This window comes from Homo sapiens, chromosome 11 (genome assembly GCF_000001405.40).
Source record: "Homo sapiens chromosome 11, GRCh38.p14 Primary Assembly".
Classification (NCBI taxonomy): Eukaryota; Metazoa; Chordata; class Mammalia; order Primates; family Hominidae; genus Homo; species Homo sapiens.
Window position 1 is genome coordinate 64,463,968 of NC_000011.10, and position 15,854 is coordinate 64,479,821.

General features: G+C 46.4%; 1 annotated feature.

Annotated features, from left to right (window-relative positions):
* Positions 8,899 to 9,639: a transcriptional cis regulatory region, noted in NCBI's record as "candidate enhancer chr11.3159 targeted for multiplex CRISPR interference". NCBI's record gives its function as "positively regulates ATG2A gene expression in K562 cells {active_cell/tissue: K562}" and the evidence as "EXISTENCE:mutant phenotype evidence [ECO:0000015][PMID:30612741]".

The following is a 15,854-nucleotide window of genomic DNA, read 5'->3' on the forward strand; positions in this document are numbered from 1 at the left end:
TTGGACTTGCTAGAAGTTTGTTCATTTTGTTGTTCTTTTGGAGGCATTAGCTTTCGGCCCTGCAGACTGTTAGGGGTTTTAGAGACCCCGATAAATATTGTCTTTCTTTTTATGGGATTTGTATATCATTTGAGGAATAAGACAAAAAGGGAATCCGGGAGACCAAATGATCATCTTGGTTACCAAAGAAGTTGATGATGCGGGAGAATGAAGCATACCTTGTCACAAAGACACCCCCAGGGCTGCAAGCCACAGTGCGATGGACTCGTGTGCTCGCTTACACAGGGCTGGGGAACTGCAACCCACACTCTGTCTCTTGGGGACAGGGTTCTGGTGTCCAGTTTACTTTGTGGTCAAGAACAATAAGAAAACACATTCTTGGCTGATGGTGGGAAAGGAAGACAGAAGACGAGAGGGGAAAGGCAGGCTGGCAGGTCCATACATGCTTAATTTCTCCGTCCAATCAGGGGAACCCATTGTGTCCCTCAGGAGGTATGAGGTAGAGGAGTGAGAGGAAAGGGGCCCACAGTATTCTTTCCCCCACTTGGAGGGATCCTCAGGAGTAGGGGATCAACAGTCTCCCTTGACGCTCACCACCTCCAATATTGAAAAGTTACTATCTCACAAGATTTTCTTCTGCATTTTTTTTTTTTTCTTGGATGGAGTCTTGCTCTGTCACCCAGGCTGGAGTGCAGTGGCGCAATCTTGGCTCACTGCAACCTCCACCTCCCAGGTTCAAGCGATTTTCCTGCCTCAGCCTCCCGAGTAGCTGGGATTACAGGCATGCATCACCACACCCGGCTAATTTTTGTATTTTTAGTAGAGATGGGGTTTTACCACGTTGGCCATGCTGGTCTTGAACTCCTGACCTCAGTGATCCACCCACCTCGGCCTCCCAAAGTGCTGGGATTATAGGCGTGAGCCACTGTGCTCGGCCTCTTTTGCCATTTTAATTTCATTCCTTTTACTTCCTTTGACTTTCTCTAATTTTTTTTCTAACGTCTTGAGTTGAATGCTTTAGTCATTGTTTTCAGTCTTCATTTTTTTAAATAAAAATATAATACAGTTAAGGGTATAAATTTAGAACAAGTACCTATGCATTTTAACTGCATCCCACAAGTTTTGAAAAGTAGTACTTCCATAGACATTCAGTTCTAAATATTTTGTCATTTATTTGTAGGTTCCTTTATCATCTATAGTTACCTAAGGCTAATTTCTTATTTCTAAATGAGGTGGGTTAAAAATTATTTTTTAAAATCGTGAATCTTCAGTTTACCTGAATTGTGCTTAGATATTAGGGCCTATAAGATACAGATTCTTCCACATATTTTTCTTTTCTTTTCTTTTCTTTTTTTTTTTTTTTTTGAGACAGGGTCTCACTCTGTCACCCAGGCTTGAGTGCAGTGGCATGATCTTGGCTCACTGCAACTTCTGCCTCATGGGTTCAAGCTATCCTCCCACCTCAGCCTTCCACCTCAGCTGGGATTACAGGCACGTGCCAGCACACCTGACTAGTTTTTGTATTTTTAGTAGAGGCGGGGTTTCACCATGTTGGCCAGGCTGGTCTAGAACTCCTGACCTCAAGTGATTCGCCCGCCTCTGCCTCCCAAGGTGCTGGGGTTACAAGCGTGAGCCACTGTGCCCGGCCCACATTTTTTATTATCTCCTCTGTGACCTTGTAAATGGTCAGTCTTTACATATGTTCAGTTTATGCTTGAAACTAATGAATATGGTTTATTTGTTGCATCCAGGGCTCTATATAAAGTAGATTAAGCTTGTGAATTTTGCTGTTCAGACATTAGAAACCATTGCATCATTTTTTATCTGCTTGAACCTATTTGTTTTTGATAGATGAGCATCAGAATCTTTCTCCATGCCTGTGGCTGTTCAATTTCTCCTTGTAAAAGAGTCAGTTTTTGCTTTGTATATATTGAGGTTATATTGTTAGGTGCATGCAAATTCAAGCTTTGGGGGCTAGTACACTTTACCATTATGTTGTATATTTATTTATGCCTAATAATGCGTTCTGTCATAAATTATTGTTTTAATATTGCCAGGCCAGCTTTCATGGGTTGGTTTTGGTCTGGCTTCTAGCTGCCACCCAGTATGAATGTCCTCCTTTTTCCTTAGTAGCCCACCCAAGTTGTGTTAGTGGTGAAAATGTACCTGGCTGAAAGACTTCATTAAACAGTCTCCCTTTCTGCAGGATGAGGCCCTATGACTAGATGCCAGCCCAGGTCAAGAAGGCTGCTTGAAAGAGTCAACCGAGTGGGGAGGGTGTCCTTTTATTTCTGCCTTTCTGCTGCCTGGAATGCTGAGTGGATGGCTGGAATTCCAGCAGCCATCTTTGAATATGAGGTTGCCTTGAGGATGGTACCAGGTACTGGAGGTGTGGAACAGAAAGAAGGAAATTACTGGATCCCTATTGACAAAGGAACTATTCTACCTTTTCTGGGTGGCTTTCATTCATACCTTTTTTTTTTTTTTTTTTTTGAGACAGAGTTTTGCTCTTGTTGCCCATGCTGGAGTGCAATGGCGCAATCTCAGCTCACAGCAACATCCGCCTCCTGAGTTCAAGCAAATCTCCCACCTCAGCCTCCTGAGTAGCTGGGATCACGGTCATGCGCCACCACACCCGGCTAATTTTGTATTTTTAGCAGAGACGGAGTTTCTCCATGTTGGTCAGGCTGTTTTCAAACTCCCAACCTCAGGTGATCCCCCCAGCTCAGCCTCCCAAAGTGCTGGGATTACAGGCGTGAGCCACTGCGCCCCGGCCTCATTCATACTTTTTAATGTGAGAGTGGCTTTACTGTGTTTTTGACTTATTTTATTTGACTCTTTTTGACTTTTATTTTATTTTATTTGAGACAATCTTGCTCTGTCACCCAGGCTGGAGTGCAGTGGCGTGATCTCAGCTCACTGCAGCCTCTGCTTTCCGGGCTCAAGTGATTCTCCTGCCTCAGCCTCCTGAGTAGCTGGGACTACAGGCGCACACCACCATGCCCAGCTAATTCTGTTTTTCTATTTTTTTTTTGTTAGATACAGGGTTTCGCCATGTTGTGCAGGCTTAATACTGTATTTTTGTTCCTTTCTAATCCTTGACTGTGGCATAATAAGAAATATTATATTATAAATGAGAACATTATATTTGATCTTTGTCCCCAGTTCCTGGCACAGAACTCCTGAATTGGAATTTCCTGAGGGACAGAAATGATAGAAGCATCTTTATTTCAAATGAGGTGACTCTTGGCAGGTCCCTAGATAGCTTTGGATGCAGGCTGGTTACCAAAAAGACCAAACCTTGATTCAAAGCCTAGAATTTTGCCCCACCCCCAACTTCTGGGGCAAGGATAGGGGCTAAAGATTGATTTAATAATTGATCATGCCTACAGGATAAAATTCCATAAAAACCCCTAAAAGGCTGGGCACAGTGGCTCACACCTATAATCTCAGCACTTTGGGAGGCTGAGGGAGGTGAATCACTTGAGGTCAGGAGTTCGAGACCAACCTGGCCAACATGGTGAAACCCCATCTATACTAAAAATACAAGAAGTTACCAGGTGTGAGTGTGCGTGCCTGTAACCTCAGCTACTCGAGAGGCAAAATAATCACTTGAACCCTGGAGGCCGAGGTTGCAGTGAGCCGAGATCACGCCACTGCACTGCAGCCTGGGCGAGACTCTGTCTCAGGAAACAAACAAACAAAAAAAACCCTAAACGATGGGGTTTGAGGAGGTTCTGGGTTGAACACATGGAGGTGCTGGGAGGGTGGTATGGCCAGAGAGGGCATGGAGGCTCCTTGCCCCGATCCCCGCACCTTGCTCTGTGTGTATCTTTTGTCTGGCTGTTCCTAAATTTCCTGAATTGTGTCCTTTATAATAAACCGGTAATAGTAAGTAAAACATTTTCATGAGTTCTGTGTGTCCTCCTAGTAAATTACTGAACCTGAGGAGGGGTTGCAGAAACCTTTGGTTTATTGCTAGTATGGGGGGCCCAGGACTGGGATTGGCATCTGAAGTGGGGCCAGTCTTGTGGGACTGAGCCCTTAGCTTGTGGACTCTGATGCTAACTCCAGGTAGATAGTGTCAGAATTGGATGGAATGATCAGGCATCTAGGTGGTGTCAGAGAATTTGTTGGTGTGAGGAAAAAAAAAACAAAACACAACCCTTCATATTTGGTAACAGGAGGACAAAAAAGCCTCTCAGATTGGCTGGGCTTGGTGGCTCACGCCTGTAATCCCAGCACTTTGGGAGGCTGAGGCAGGTGGATCACGAGGTTAAGAGATCGAGACCATCCTGGCCAACATGATGAAACCCTGTCTCTACTAAAAATACAAAAATTAGCTGGGCGTGGTGGCGTACTTCTGTAATCCTAGGTACTCAGGAGGCTGAAGCAGGAGAATCGCTTGAACCCAGAAGGCAGAGGTTGCAGTGAGCCGAGATTGCACCACTGCTCTCCAACCCGGCGACAGAACAAGACTGTCAAACAACAACAACAACAACAACAACAACAACAACAAAAACCTCTCAGACTGACCGACCATCTGGTCAACTCATCAGCTTCTGCCCATGAATCAGTGTAGACCCATACTTCTGGCCATCTCTCCTTCTGAGCAAAGTGGACAACCAGGTGTTCTCTGTAAGTTCTGCCCAGTGGGAGGATTTTCCTGCTCCATTGTCCCTCAGGGCCTCTCCAAGTAAGGCAGTGATCATCCATATACTAGGCTCAGGGATTTTCTTTTTCAGTCATCTGGCGGGTGAGGGGCTGCCATATTTTTTCTTTTTCGAGGCAGGGTCTTGCTCTGTTGCCCAGGCTAGGGTTCAGTGTTGTGATCACATCTCACTGCAGTCTTGACCTTCTGAACTCAAGCAATCTTCCTACCTCAGCCTCTTGAGCATCTGGGATAACAGGTGCATGCCACCATGCCTGGGTAATTTTTGTAGAGGTAGGGTTTCGCCATGTTGCCCAGGCTGGTCTTGAACTCCTGAGCTCAAGTGACCCACCTGCCTTGGCTTCCCAAAGTGCTGGGGTTACAGACATAAGCCATTGTGCCTGGCCTCTGCCACGTGTTTTGAAACACCTCCAGCCCAGTGTATCACCCCTGGGTAAAAATCACTTAATAGGGGTTTTCCTTGGCAGAATCACACAGTCCATTTTGTCAACATGATCCTGAGCGTACAGTAGGTGTTCACATAATTCATTGATATCAGTATCAGTACAAAGCTCCCTTTGCACAGAGTGGGACAAATCCTCATCCTAAAGACTTGATTGATGCCATCAGTTTACTGGATCCTTGCAACTTGGCTTTATCATGACATTTACATCTGAGCAGGGAGTTTAATATCAGTTTCAAGCTGGCCCTGGCATGGCAGGAGGTGGAAGTGAGTCTTCCCACAGGTCAGTGGATGTCGGGCAACTTGCTGGCATGGCAGTCTCTGAAGGGCTAACAGGGTCCTCTGACCTAGGAATGGGCAGAAGCTGGTGCCTGTGACCTGCTGCTGCCCTCCGAGGCACCTGTGCTGCTCTTGCGCCTTCCTTGATGTCTCTTGTGCTTCCTGTCTGCAACTGCTCTGTAGAAACAGCACCTGTTACCGGTGATTTGTGTTCCCCCAGAAAGATACATTGAATTCCTAATCCCCAGTACCTCAGAATGTGACCTTATTTGGGGTTAGGGTCTTTGCGGTAGTCAATTGAAGATGAGATCATTAGGGTAGGACTTCATACAATCTTACTGTGTCTTTACAAAGGGACTTTTGGACCCAGAGACAGATACAAAGGGAAAATGTCATGTGAAGATGAAGGCAGAGATTGGGGTAATGCATAAGAAATGTCAAAGACTGCCAGCAAACCCCCGGAAGCTAGGAGAAAGGAATGGGACAGATTCTCCCTTGCATCCTTCAGAAGGAACCAACCCTGGCCTCCAGAACTGTGAGATGATAAATGTCTGTTATTTTAATCATTCAATCTGTGGCAGTTGTTATGGCAACCCCAGGAAACAAATGCAGCATCCATCACTCCTCTAACACTCAGGAAGTCTTTCCCTCAGGCCTGTCTCTCACCCTGAAGTCTCCTCCCAATCCTCTCCATCCCATGTCTGAATTTTTCTATTCAGCGATGACAACAAGTCAAGTTGACATCAAGGTGGTGGATGAGTGTGGGCTCAAAGCTGCTGGGGTCCTACATATGCCCCCCAGGCTGGTGCACATTCCTGCTGGCCAGGTCTAGACTTCACTTTGACCCTTTTGTAATCCCTAGGTTGGTGCAGGTATGGAGAAGGGTCAGCTAAAGACTGATGGTCAAGAGTAAAGAGGCTGGGTCCAGGATACTGAGTCCTCTTTCTTTTGTCTTATTTTAAATGTTGGATTTCAGAACCATGTTGCTCCAGCTTCAGGAATGTGTGACTGAAGGTACAGGATCTCATTCAGATTAAGGAAAATATTATAAATTTTCTTGTTATTCACATTTTAAAAATTCCTCTAGGTCACAAATTCATGTAGGCAATAGGAAAATTATATTTATTTTTGAGAAAATACAGAGGCTTTGTTAATAAGTTAGTTAAAGCACAACTGAGTTGAAGAATAAACCCTGTTTTCCCTGAACTAATAGGACTAGTAAGAAATGAAGAGAAGTCTTCAATCCTGAAATGCCCTATAGCATCACTGTTAAACTTAGTTCAATAGATTTGCTGGGAGAGAGAGGTGGGAGTAGACGTGTTGCTTCCCGCCACCCACAAATAAGTTATTGTTATTTATATTTTTATGATTTTGTTAAAATACATGCTTATTGTAAAAATATCAAGCATTATGGAAAAGTATTAAGAAGAAAGTAAAAATCATGTGAAATCCTCCCACCTTGGTATTGCCACCATTGATGTTTTAGAGCACATCCTTTCATGCCTTTTTCTATGCATCTCTTTACCCCCAGTACATTATTTTGCATACATTGGATTTTGGTAAATACTTTTCAAAATTGTGAATCATTATTTCATTTTCCTTTTTCTTTCTTTCTTTTTTTTTTTTTTGCTACATCCACCTCCTGCTACCCCAGGTACACAGTGGTAACATCTTTTCTCCAGGCTCATTTAATCATCCACAAAGTCCCATACATATACTGTAGAGTTTTCAACAAAATCAATGCTTGTCTTTTTGACAATGGAATCAAATCATAACACTTTTCTGTATCTTGATTTCCTCACTTCATACATTACAGCAATTCCCCAGGCCATCTTGTATAACTCACTTGCTCTTTCGTGGTTGCATAGAAGTTCATGGTGTAAGCATACTGCCCTTTGCTCACCCTGAGTGAGGGTCTTTCACTGTGGCCCAGGCATACTCACTGTCACACTCACGTCCCCATACCCCTATGTACTGCTGCTTTTGTGTCCATGGAACAGATTCCCAAGGATGCTATTGCCCAAAGGGATATGCACATTAAAGTTTTAATATATACAGATGAATTGATTTGCAAAAAGATTATTGTCAATTCACGTCCCCACCAGAAGTTTGTGAGAGGATTCTTTGCCCCACATCTTCCCCAATTCTATAAGCAATCTGTCTTTTTTATTTGTGCTTAAACGATCTCTACGGTGTTACACACAAAAGTCATTCATTTAACCATAAGACTTTTATTTTCTGGACCCTGAGGTGCCATTTATCTTTTTTATTTCTTTTAAAATAGTGGCTATTATTATTTTTTTTAAAAAAACAAGTAATGCTTGTTCAATGCAGATAAATTGAAGAACACAGAAAAACTCAAGAAAAGTCTAACCCAAATGCATAATCACCTGTCCACTATTAGCATTTTGATATGTTTTCTGCTAGTTTTTCTTTATGTATATTTTCAGACAGATACAGATTTACAAAAATATGTGTTTTTTTATATATGATTCTGTTGTCAGCTGTTTTTTTCTCTTACCAATACATTATGAACATTTTTTCCATGCTGATACATGTTTTTCTATGGCATAATTTTTAATAGATGAAAATTATTCTATCACATAATTCTTCCTTAACCAATTCCCTGCTGGACATTTCTCTTTTTTCTTTTTTTTTTTTTTTGCTACCATAAACAATACTGGGATGAACATCTTTTTCCATTATGTTAGTTCACTTGTCTGCTGGTCTTCTATAGGTAGAGTTGTTAAGTCCAAGGTGATGACTTTTTCAGGGTTTTCTTTCTTTCTTTTCTTTTCTTTTCTTTTTTTTTTTGAGACGGACTTTCGCTCTTGTTGCCCAGGCTGGAGTGCAATGGCACGATCTTGGCTCACCACAACCTCTGCCTCCCAGGTTCAAGCAATTCTCCTGCCTCAGCCCCCTGAGTAGCTGGGATTACAGGCAGGCACCACCATGCGTGGCTAATTTTGTATTTTTGGTAGAGACAGTGTTTCTCCATGTTGAGGCTGGTCTTAAACTCCTAACCTCAGGTGATCTGCCTGCCTCGGCCTCCCAAAGTGCTGGAATTACAGGCATGAGCCACTGTGCCCGGCCCATTTTCAGGGTTTTCATACCAATCAGTCTCTGAAAGATTGTATCAGTGGGTGCCCCCCTCTACTTTGAGCCAACAGTGGTGTTGGGGGCTCATTTCAAACCAGAAGCAGACACTCTAACGGTGCTTGATTCCAGATCTTCTTCAGCCCCACCCTGTGACATGGCACCATGGACAACACACTCTTCACGTCTCCCAGGTTTTGGTGTTCTGTGTCTTACAGGCTTTTGTGTTCACGACCCCAGCGGACCTTCAACATTGATCCTGCAAGGTCGAGAGGGCCAGAGCCCATCCCTATGGATGGGAAACCTGATGCCACAGAAAGTCAAATGACCTGAGTCAGCAAGTGTATGGGTCAGCTCAGGCTGCCATAACAAAATATCACAGACTGCAGGACTTAAACAACAGAAATTAATTTTCTTACCGTTCTGGAGGCTGGAAGCCCAAGATCAAGGTGTTGGCAGTTTGATTTCTTCTGAGAATTTTCTTCTTGGTTTCCAGATGCTGCCTTCTTGCTGTGTCCTAATGAAGTAGGAGACCAGCAGGACTTGTTTTCTGGTCACAACCCTGCTGACCAAAATAGGATCTGGTCCAGAAAGATAAAGTAAAAAACCGAAACCAACTGGCCCAAACCAATAGATGGTTGCAAAAGCAATCTCTGGCTGCCCTCAGGGCTCATTAGCATAAGACACTCCCACAAGCACCATGACAATTTACAAATGCCCAAGTCATTCTACAATGACCGGGAAATTACTGCGCCTTTCCTACCCAGCCTTCAATTTACATTGAACCACCCCTTAATTTGCATGCAATTGAAATTGGGCTTATGTGAACATAAATACAGTTGCCAAGAGCCCATACAACGCTTACTCTGGGCACACTGCCCGTGAGTCAGGCCTGCTCTGCAAGGGGCAGAACATCAGCTCCCCTTGAATTCTCTCCTGTGTGAAGCCAAGCACTGTCCCAGGCTAAGCCCCAATTCTGAGGCTTTCCTGTCCTGCATCACTCACTTGGCCATTTCTCTGTGCAAGCACCTCCCTGGTGTCTCTGTGGCTCCACATTTCCTCTGCTTATAAGAACCCCAGTCACATTGGATTAGGACTCATCCTAATGGCCTCATTTAACTTGATTGCCTGATTAGAGCTCCTATCTCCAAATACAGTCACATTCTGAGGGACTAGGCTTGGGACTTCAACATATGAATTTTGAGATGGGCACAGTTCTGCTCCTCACAGCGAGTTAACAGCAGAATTGGGGAGGTCCTGGCCAGGCGCAGTGGCTCATATCTGTAATCCCAGCACTTTGGGAGGCCGAGGCAGGCGGATCACCAGAGGTCAGGAGTTCGAGACCAGCCTGGCCAACATGGTGAAAGTCCGTCTCTACTAAAAATAAAAAAAATTAGCCGGGTGTGGTGGCATGCACCTGTAATCCCAGCTACTTGGGAGACTGAGGCAGGAGAATTGCTTGAACCTGGGGGGTGGAGGTTGCAGTGAGCTGAGATTGCACCATTGCACTCCAGCCTGGGTGACAGAGCGAGACTCTATCTCAAAGAAAAAAAAAAAAAAGAAGTGGGAAGATCCAGATTTCTGGGGAAATCCAGATTTCTGGTGTACTCTCCTGAGAGCAGAGACTCTGGTGGGGGTCTGGGATGGAATGCAAACACAGTGCTCAAGACTGCTCCTGTGTCCCTGTTCATTTGGCTGGGGAGAAGCTACGACGTCACCAGGGATTCTCTTCACAGTCCCACTCTTTTGGGAAACTGGAGGAATTATCCTCGGATCATATTACCAGCCTCTGATGTGGGGAATCTTGCGGTTCATAGATTCAGCCCAGTTTTCCAAAGTGATTCCAACAAATGGACTCTAGAAGTTCTTTTTCTACCAAGTTTCTTTCATTAGCTCCAGCAGAAAGCAATGCAGGGGAGAAAGCGCTGAGTTGAAGATGAGAGCCCAGAGGTTTCGGGAAGTTTGGCTTCCCAATCAGTAGTTGCATGAGCCTTTTCTACAAAATGAGGATGGCCCTATCATCTGGAAAAGCTCTTTGTAATCTGTAAACAAAACACTTTATGAACATTAATAATAAAATAACATAAAACAAGAAAGAAATAGACAGAATCCAAATCATTGGTATCTGTGAAGGAAATAAAGTTAGTACAGACTGAAATAGAAAAAGTGTGATTTGTAACTTTGCTGTGAAGTTCAGCTTCATTTTCATTTGCTCTGGACATTAACAATGTGACTGACAGACTGACTTCTGACTTGGAATTTCTAACAACCCCATCAAGAGGCTGTACCCAGCATCTCAATGAGCCAGACTGCGGGTGACGTTTCCCATTCAGCAATTGCTGGTATTGGTGAGCCGCGTTCAATGTTTCTTGGCAAGGCCAGGCCCAAAGAGGTAGTTGGAAGAGTCTCCCGGGTGGCTGATTATCTTGGGCACACTAGACTTGGAGTTCAAAACACATAGAAAAACAGCACGAATGAATGGAAAAAAGGAACTGGAGACACAGTGACCCGCGAAATGGGTGAAGAGAACGTAGTCTTAGGAACGCCGAGAGGGATATTTCCCAGGAGTAGCACCAGCTTTGTGGTTGGTGAGGTTTTAATTAGATTTGAAGGCTTTTGTTTAAGCCTCAGGATAGTAGATTTAAACAGATCGATACACTGAATTCGAATGTAGGGAGTATCATGGGACACTGGAGACCGGTCCTCAGCAGAGGAATAGGGGCTGGCAGTGTTGTCACATGTGTCCCTGACACATGTGTGGGAAAGAGAACTGGGAGGGACCAGGCTGTTTAGAATGCTGTAGATACGGGTTTCGCACTTGGCCTCTTGCACCAGGCACTAGATGAATAACCACGGGCAAGTCAGTCCGACACTCTGATTTCTCCCCGCCGAGCGGGCACAGCGACATCTCGGGGATTCGGACATGGAGATGAGAGCCTAGATGTTGGCTGGGTTGCAGAACAAGCCAGCTGGGATGGTATCAGAAAGTGTCTTTCTTTTTGCCCCCCAGTGCCCCACTTGAATTCCTGCAGAGGGTGAATGAGTGTCCTGTGGTTGCTGGAAAAAAGTGCCACAAACCAGACAGTGTGAAACAACAGAAACTCACACACAGTCCCGGGGGCCAGAAGTCTGCAATCAGGGTGTCGGCAGGGCCATACTCTCTTCAAAGGTGCTGGGGGACCCTTCCTGGCCTGTCCATCTTCTGATCATTGCCTGCGTTCTTTGTCTTGTAGACGCGTCACTCCCGTTCCCTCTGTCATCCCAGGGACTTCCTCCCTTGCCTTTGCATCCTCTTGTCATCTTCCCTCTATGAGTGTGTCTGTGCCCAAGTTTCCCTCCTCTTATAAGGACCCTAGTAAGTCCCTTGGATTTAGGGTCCACATGAATCCAGTATGACCTAATCTTAACTGGGTTACATCTTCGAAGACTTTATTTTCAAGTAAAGTCACATATTGAAGTTCTGGGTGGACACGAATTTGTGGGGGCTGTTGTTCAACTCAGTACAGTGAGAGATGAAGATGTGGGTGCTCCTAGGCCGGGCGCTGTGGCTCATGCCTGTAATCCCAGCATTTTGGGAGGCTGAGGTGGGCGGATCACGAAGTCAGGAGATCGAGAGCCTACTGGCCAACATGGTGAAACCCCGCCTCTACTAAAAATACACAAAAAATTAGCCAGGCATTGTGGCCCGTACCTGTAATCCCAGTTACTCAGGAGGCTGAGGCAGGACAATCACTTGAACCAGGGAGTTGGAGGTTGCGTGAACCAAGATAGAAAAGGAAACGTGGGTGCTCCTATGACTTTTTCAATTACCCTCAGGGGAGAAATGTCCTGTAGTCACTTTAAGTCCAAAATAGTTTCTTGGCCGGGCGCGGTGCCTCACGCCTATAATCCCAGCACTTTGGGAGGCCAAGGTGGGTGGATCGCTTGAGTCTGGGAGTTTGAGACCAGCATGGGCAACATGGTGAAACCCTGTCTCTACAAAAAAATACAGACATGATGTTGCATGTCTGTAATCCCAGCTACTCGGGAGGCCGAGGCTGGAGGATCGCTTGAGCCTAGGAGTTCAAGCCACTGCACTCCAGCCTGGGTGACAGAGTGACACCCAGTCTCAAAACAAAAACAAAACCAAAAGCATCAAAATAAAGTCTCGATTCAGAAATTCAAGGCTTCCAGTTCAATGTGTTAGTCCACACATTCTTCCCCATTCCAAGCCAAGGCATCTCGGACAGGCAGCAGGGGCTGGGGAGCATCTAGGTGGCATCTTCCTTCTCTCTGATCTCCTTTTTCGTCCCCTCTGAAGGGGAGGGGCAGGCTCCAGGAGGAGCCATTGGGGCAGGAAAGGTCTGCGTGGCTGACACTGTCCTCATGTGGTTCTGTGTTTGGTGTCTGCCAGAGTTCACAGCTGTCACCTCCTCTCTTGGGACTTGGCCAGTTTGGAGACCCTCAAGGCAGGGGTTCCTTGATGGCAGACCCTGCGCTCTGGGCAGAGGCTTTGTTCCTGAGTTCACTTCCTCCAAGCAGCCCGCCTCCTACCCCCCTCTGCTGAGGCTGTTTGTCCTTCTAGGTGGCCCGCTGGCCTGCACCGGCTGGCACTGCAGCCCTCATCTGCCTCCGCCTGGTCAAACTATGGCCTGTGGGCGGGACCATGCTTTAAAATGGGTGAGCCAGCCCTGGTCTCTCGACTCATCACTGTGCCTCTAACTGTGGGGTCCTCCAGCAGGCTCTTTGGGATGTCCAGGCTCTCCAAGCTGGAGTTATGAGGCAGACACCCCCTTACCCTCACCCAACTTGGGGGAGGTGGGACTTCCAGTTCTCTCTAAATAAATCCTTTTTCAAATACCCGCCCTGCCCTGATCCTTTTAGATTCTAGCCCTTGAAAAGTCGTGACACCTCCTTTTGGCCACCCTGCCCTGACAGCCAGTAGGGAGCCCCGTCTCACTCCTCGCTCTGCTGTCTGAGATCTGGTGTCTTGGTGCCTCAGTCAGTCTCGAGTGGGAGACCCTGCTGCCCACGTCAAGCGCTAGCACAGGGCTTGGCATATAGCAAGCCCTTGATAAATGGAAGCTGTTGTTATTCAGACACATTCCTTGCCCTCGTGAGGCTTAGGGGGAATGGCTCAGAAATGGAAAGGTGGCCTCAAAGGGCTCCCTCGATGGCAGTGAGAGGAGAGGATGTGAGGCTGAGGTGACAGGGAGGGAGCAGGCAGGGCTCCATGCAGGATTCAGGAATTGAACGAACCCTGAGCTTCCGTGGGGTTTGAGTCGGGGAGGCTGGCTGTGACGTTCAGGGCTGTGTGGATCCAGCAGCCCATAGGAAGGAGCTACAAGGCTTACAATGTTGTGGGAGGTGCTAAGGGCAAGCCATGGACACCAGGCTTCATCCTGCAGGGGATGACAGGCCTGGCAGGTGTGAGAGCTGAGGACGCACAGTGAGTTGGGGGCTCAGCGGGGGAGGAGCCACGCTGCCGTTCTTCCCTGCCCATGGCCTCAGAGGCCACGAACCCTTTCTCCTAGACACACTCTTCTCCTTAGACCTCGGCTTTGTCCTGGTTTTTTCCTCGGCTCTCCAGAGTGGGTTCCCTGGTGTCCTAGGTCAGATTCCCTAGAGGTGGAGCCTGGAACGGGGAATTTTTTTTTTTTTTTTTGAGACAGAATCTCACTCTGTCTCCCAGGCTGGAGTGCAGTGGCATGATCTTGGCTCACTGCAAGCTCCGCCTCCCGGGTTCAAAGGATCCACCCACCTCAGGCTCCGGAGTAGCTGAGATTACAGGCACGCACCACCAAAGCTGGTTAATTTTTGTATTTTTAGTAGAGACACGGTTCCTCCATGTTGACCAGGCTAGTCTCGAACTCCTGAGCTCAAGTGATCCACCCGCCTTGGCCTCCCGAAGTGTTGGGATTACAGGCATGAGCCACCACACCTGGCCAAGATGATGATTTTGGAGCAAGGTTTATTGAGAGGGGCTCTCAGGGGAAGGGAAGTGGAGGAGGCAGGAGGAAGACAGGAGGAGGCTCAGCAGACATTGTGTTTCCGCCACAGTCTGCTGGCCTCAGCCTCATCCCACTGGGGAGCCGTTCCCAAAGACAGGCAAGGAGGTGGAGATTTTGTGCCCTGCATGGGATGACACTGGCTTTAGGCTGCCCTCTGAGGGATGCTGTGACGGCCCAGGCACTTCCAGGGAGGAATCTCCTAGATGACTGCAGTCCTCTCCAGCTCAGAGTATCTGGGCAAGGCACCACCAGCAGCTTCTCCTGTTCTGCACCTGCTTCCCCATGGCTCTTCTTGTCCTCCCAGCAAGGGCACAGGGCTCCCTCCTCACCTCTCTCCTCTCCACTCACCTCACCCGCTCTGCAATCCAACGTCTTCCACAAGGCTTGTTCACCAACATCAACTCCTATCTTAGCAAATCATAGCAAATTTATTAACAGTGACTTCTAAGTAACATTATTCCTGATGGTGTGTGTCTTAGTCCATTTATGCTGCTATAACAAAATACCTGAGACCTGGTAATTTATTTAAAAATACCCAGAATTTATTTCTCACAGTTCTGGAGGCTGGGAAGTTCAAGATCAAGGCGCCAGCAGAGTCAGTACCTGGTGAGGGCTGTTCTCTGCTTCCAAGATGGCACTTTGTTGCTGCATTCTGCAGAGGGACAAAGGCTGTGTCCTCGCATGGCAGAAGGGACAGAGAGGCAAGAGAGAGATGAACCCCTTCCAACAAGTCTTTCAGACCAGCTCCGATTCCATTCATGAGGGTGGTGTCCTCCTAACTCAGTCACCTCCTAGAGACCGCACTTCTTAATACTTTTGCATTGAGGACTAAGTTTCAACATGAATTTTGGAGGGAACACAAATATTCAAGCCATAGCAGTGACTTATATTGTTTTTTATTTGCTTTTGTGTGTGGTTTTTGTTTGTTTGTTTTTGGTTTTTTTGAGATGGAGTCTCACTCTTGTTGCCCAGGCTGGAGTGCAATGGTGTGATCTTGGCTCACTACAACCTCCACCTCCTGGGTTCAAGCAATTCTCCTGCCTCAGCCTCCTGAGTAGCTGGGATTATAGACATGCACCACCATGCCTGGCTAATTTTGCATTTTTAGTAAAGATGAGGTTTCTCCATGTTGGTCAGGCTGATCTCGATCTCCCAACCTCAAGTGAATCACCTGCCTCAGCCTCCCAAAGTAATGAGATGACAGGTGTGAGCCACCACGCTTGGCCATATTCTTTTTTATTATCTTGTATTTATAGAAACCAACTGTAACTAACATTTGTGTCTTCTGTTACCATTTTTCAGGCCCATCCACATCTTTCATTTTGATCTTGTTTCACAACTCAATCAAGTGTTTTTCTAAATTCTCACTTTAGAG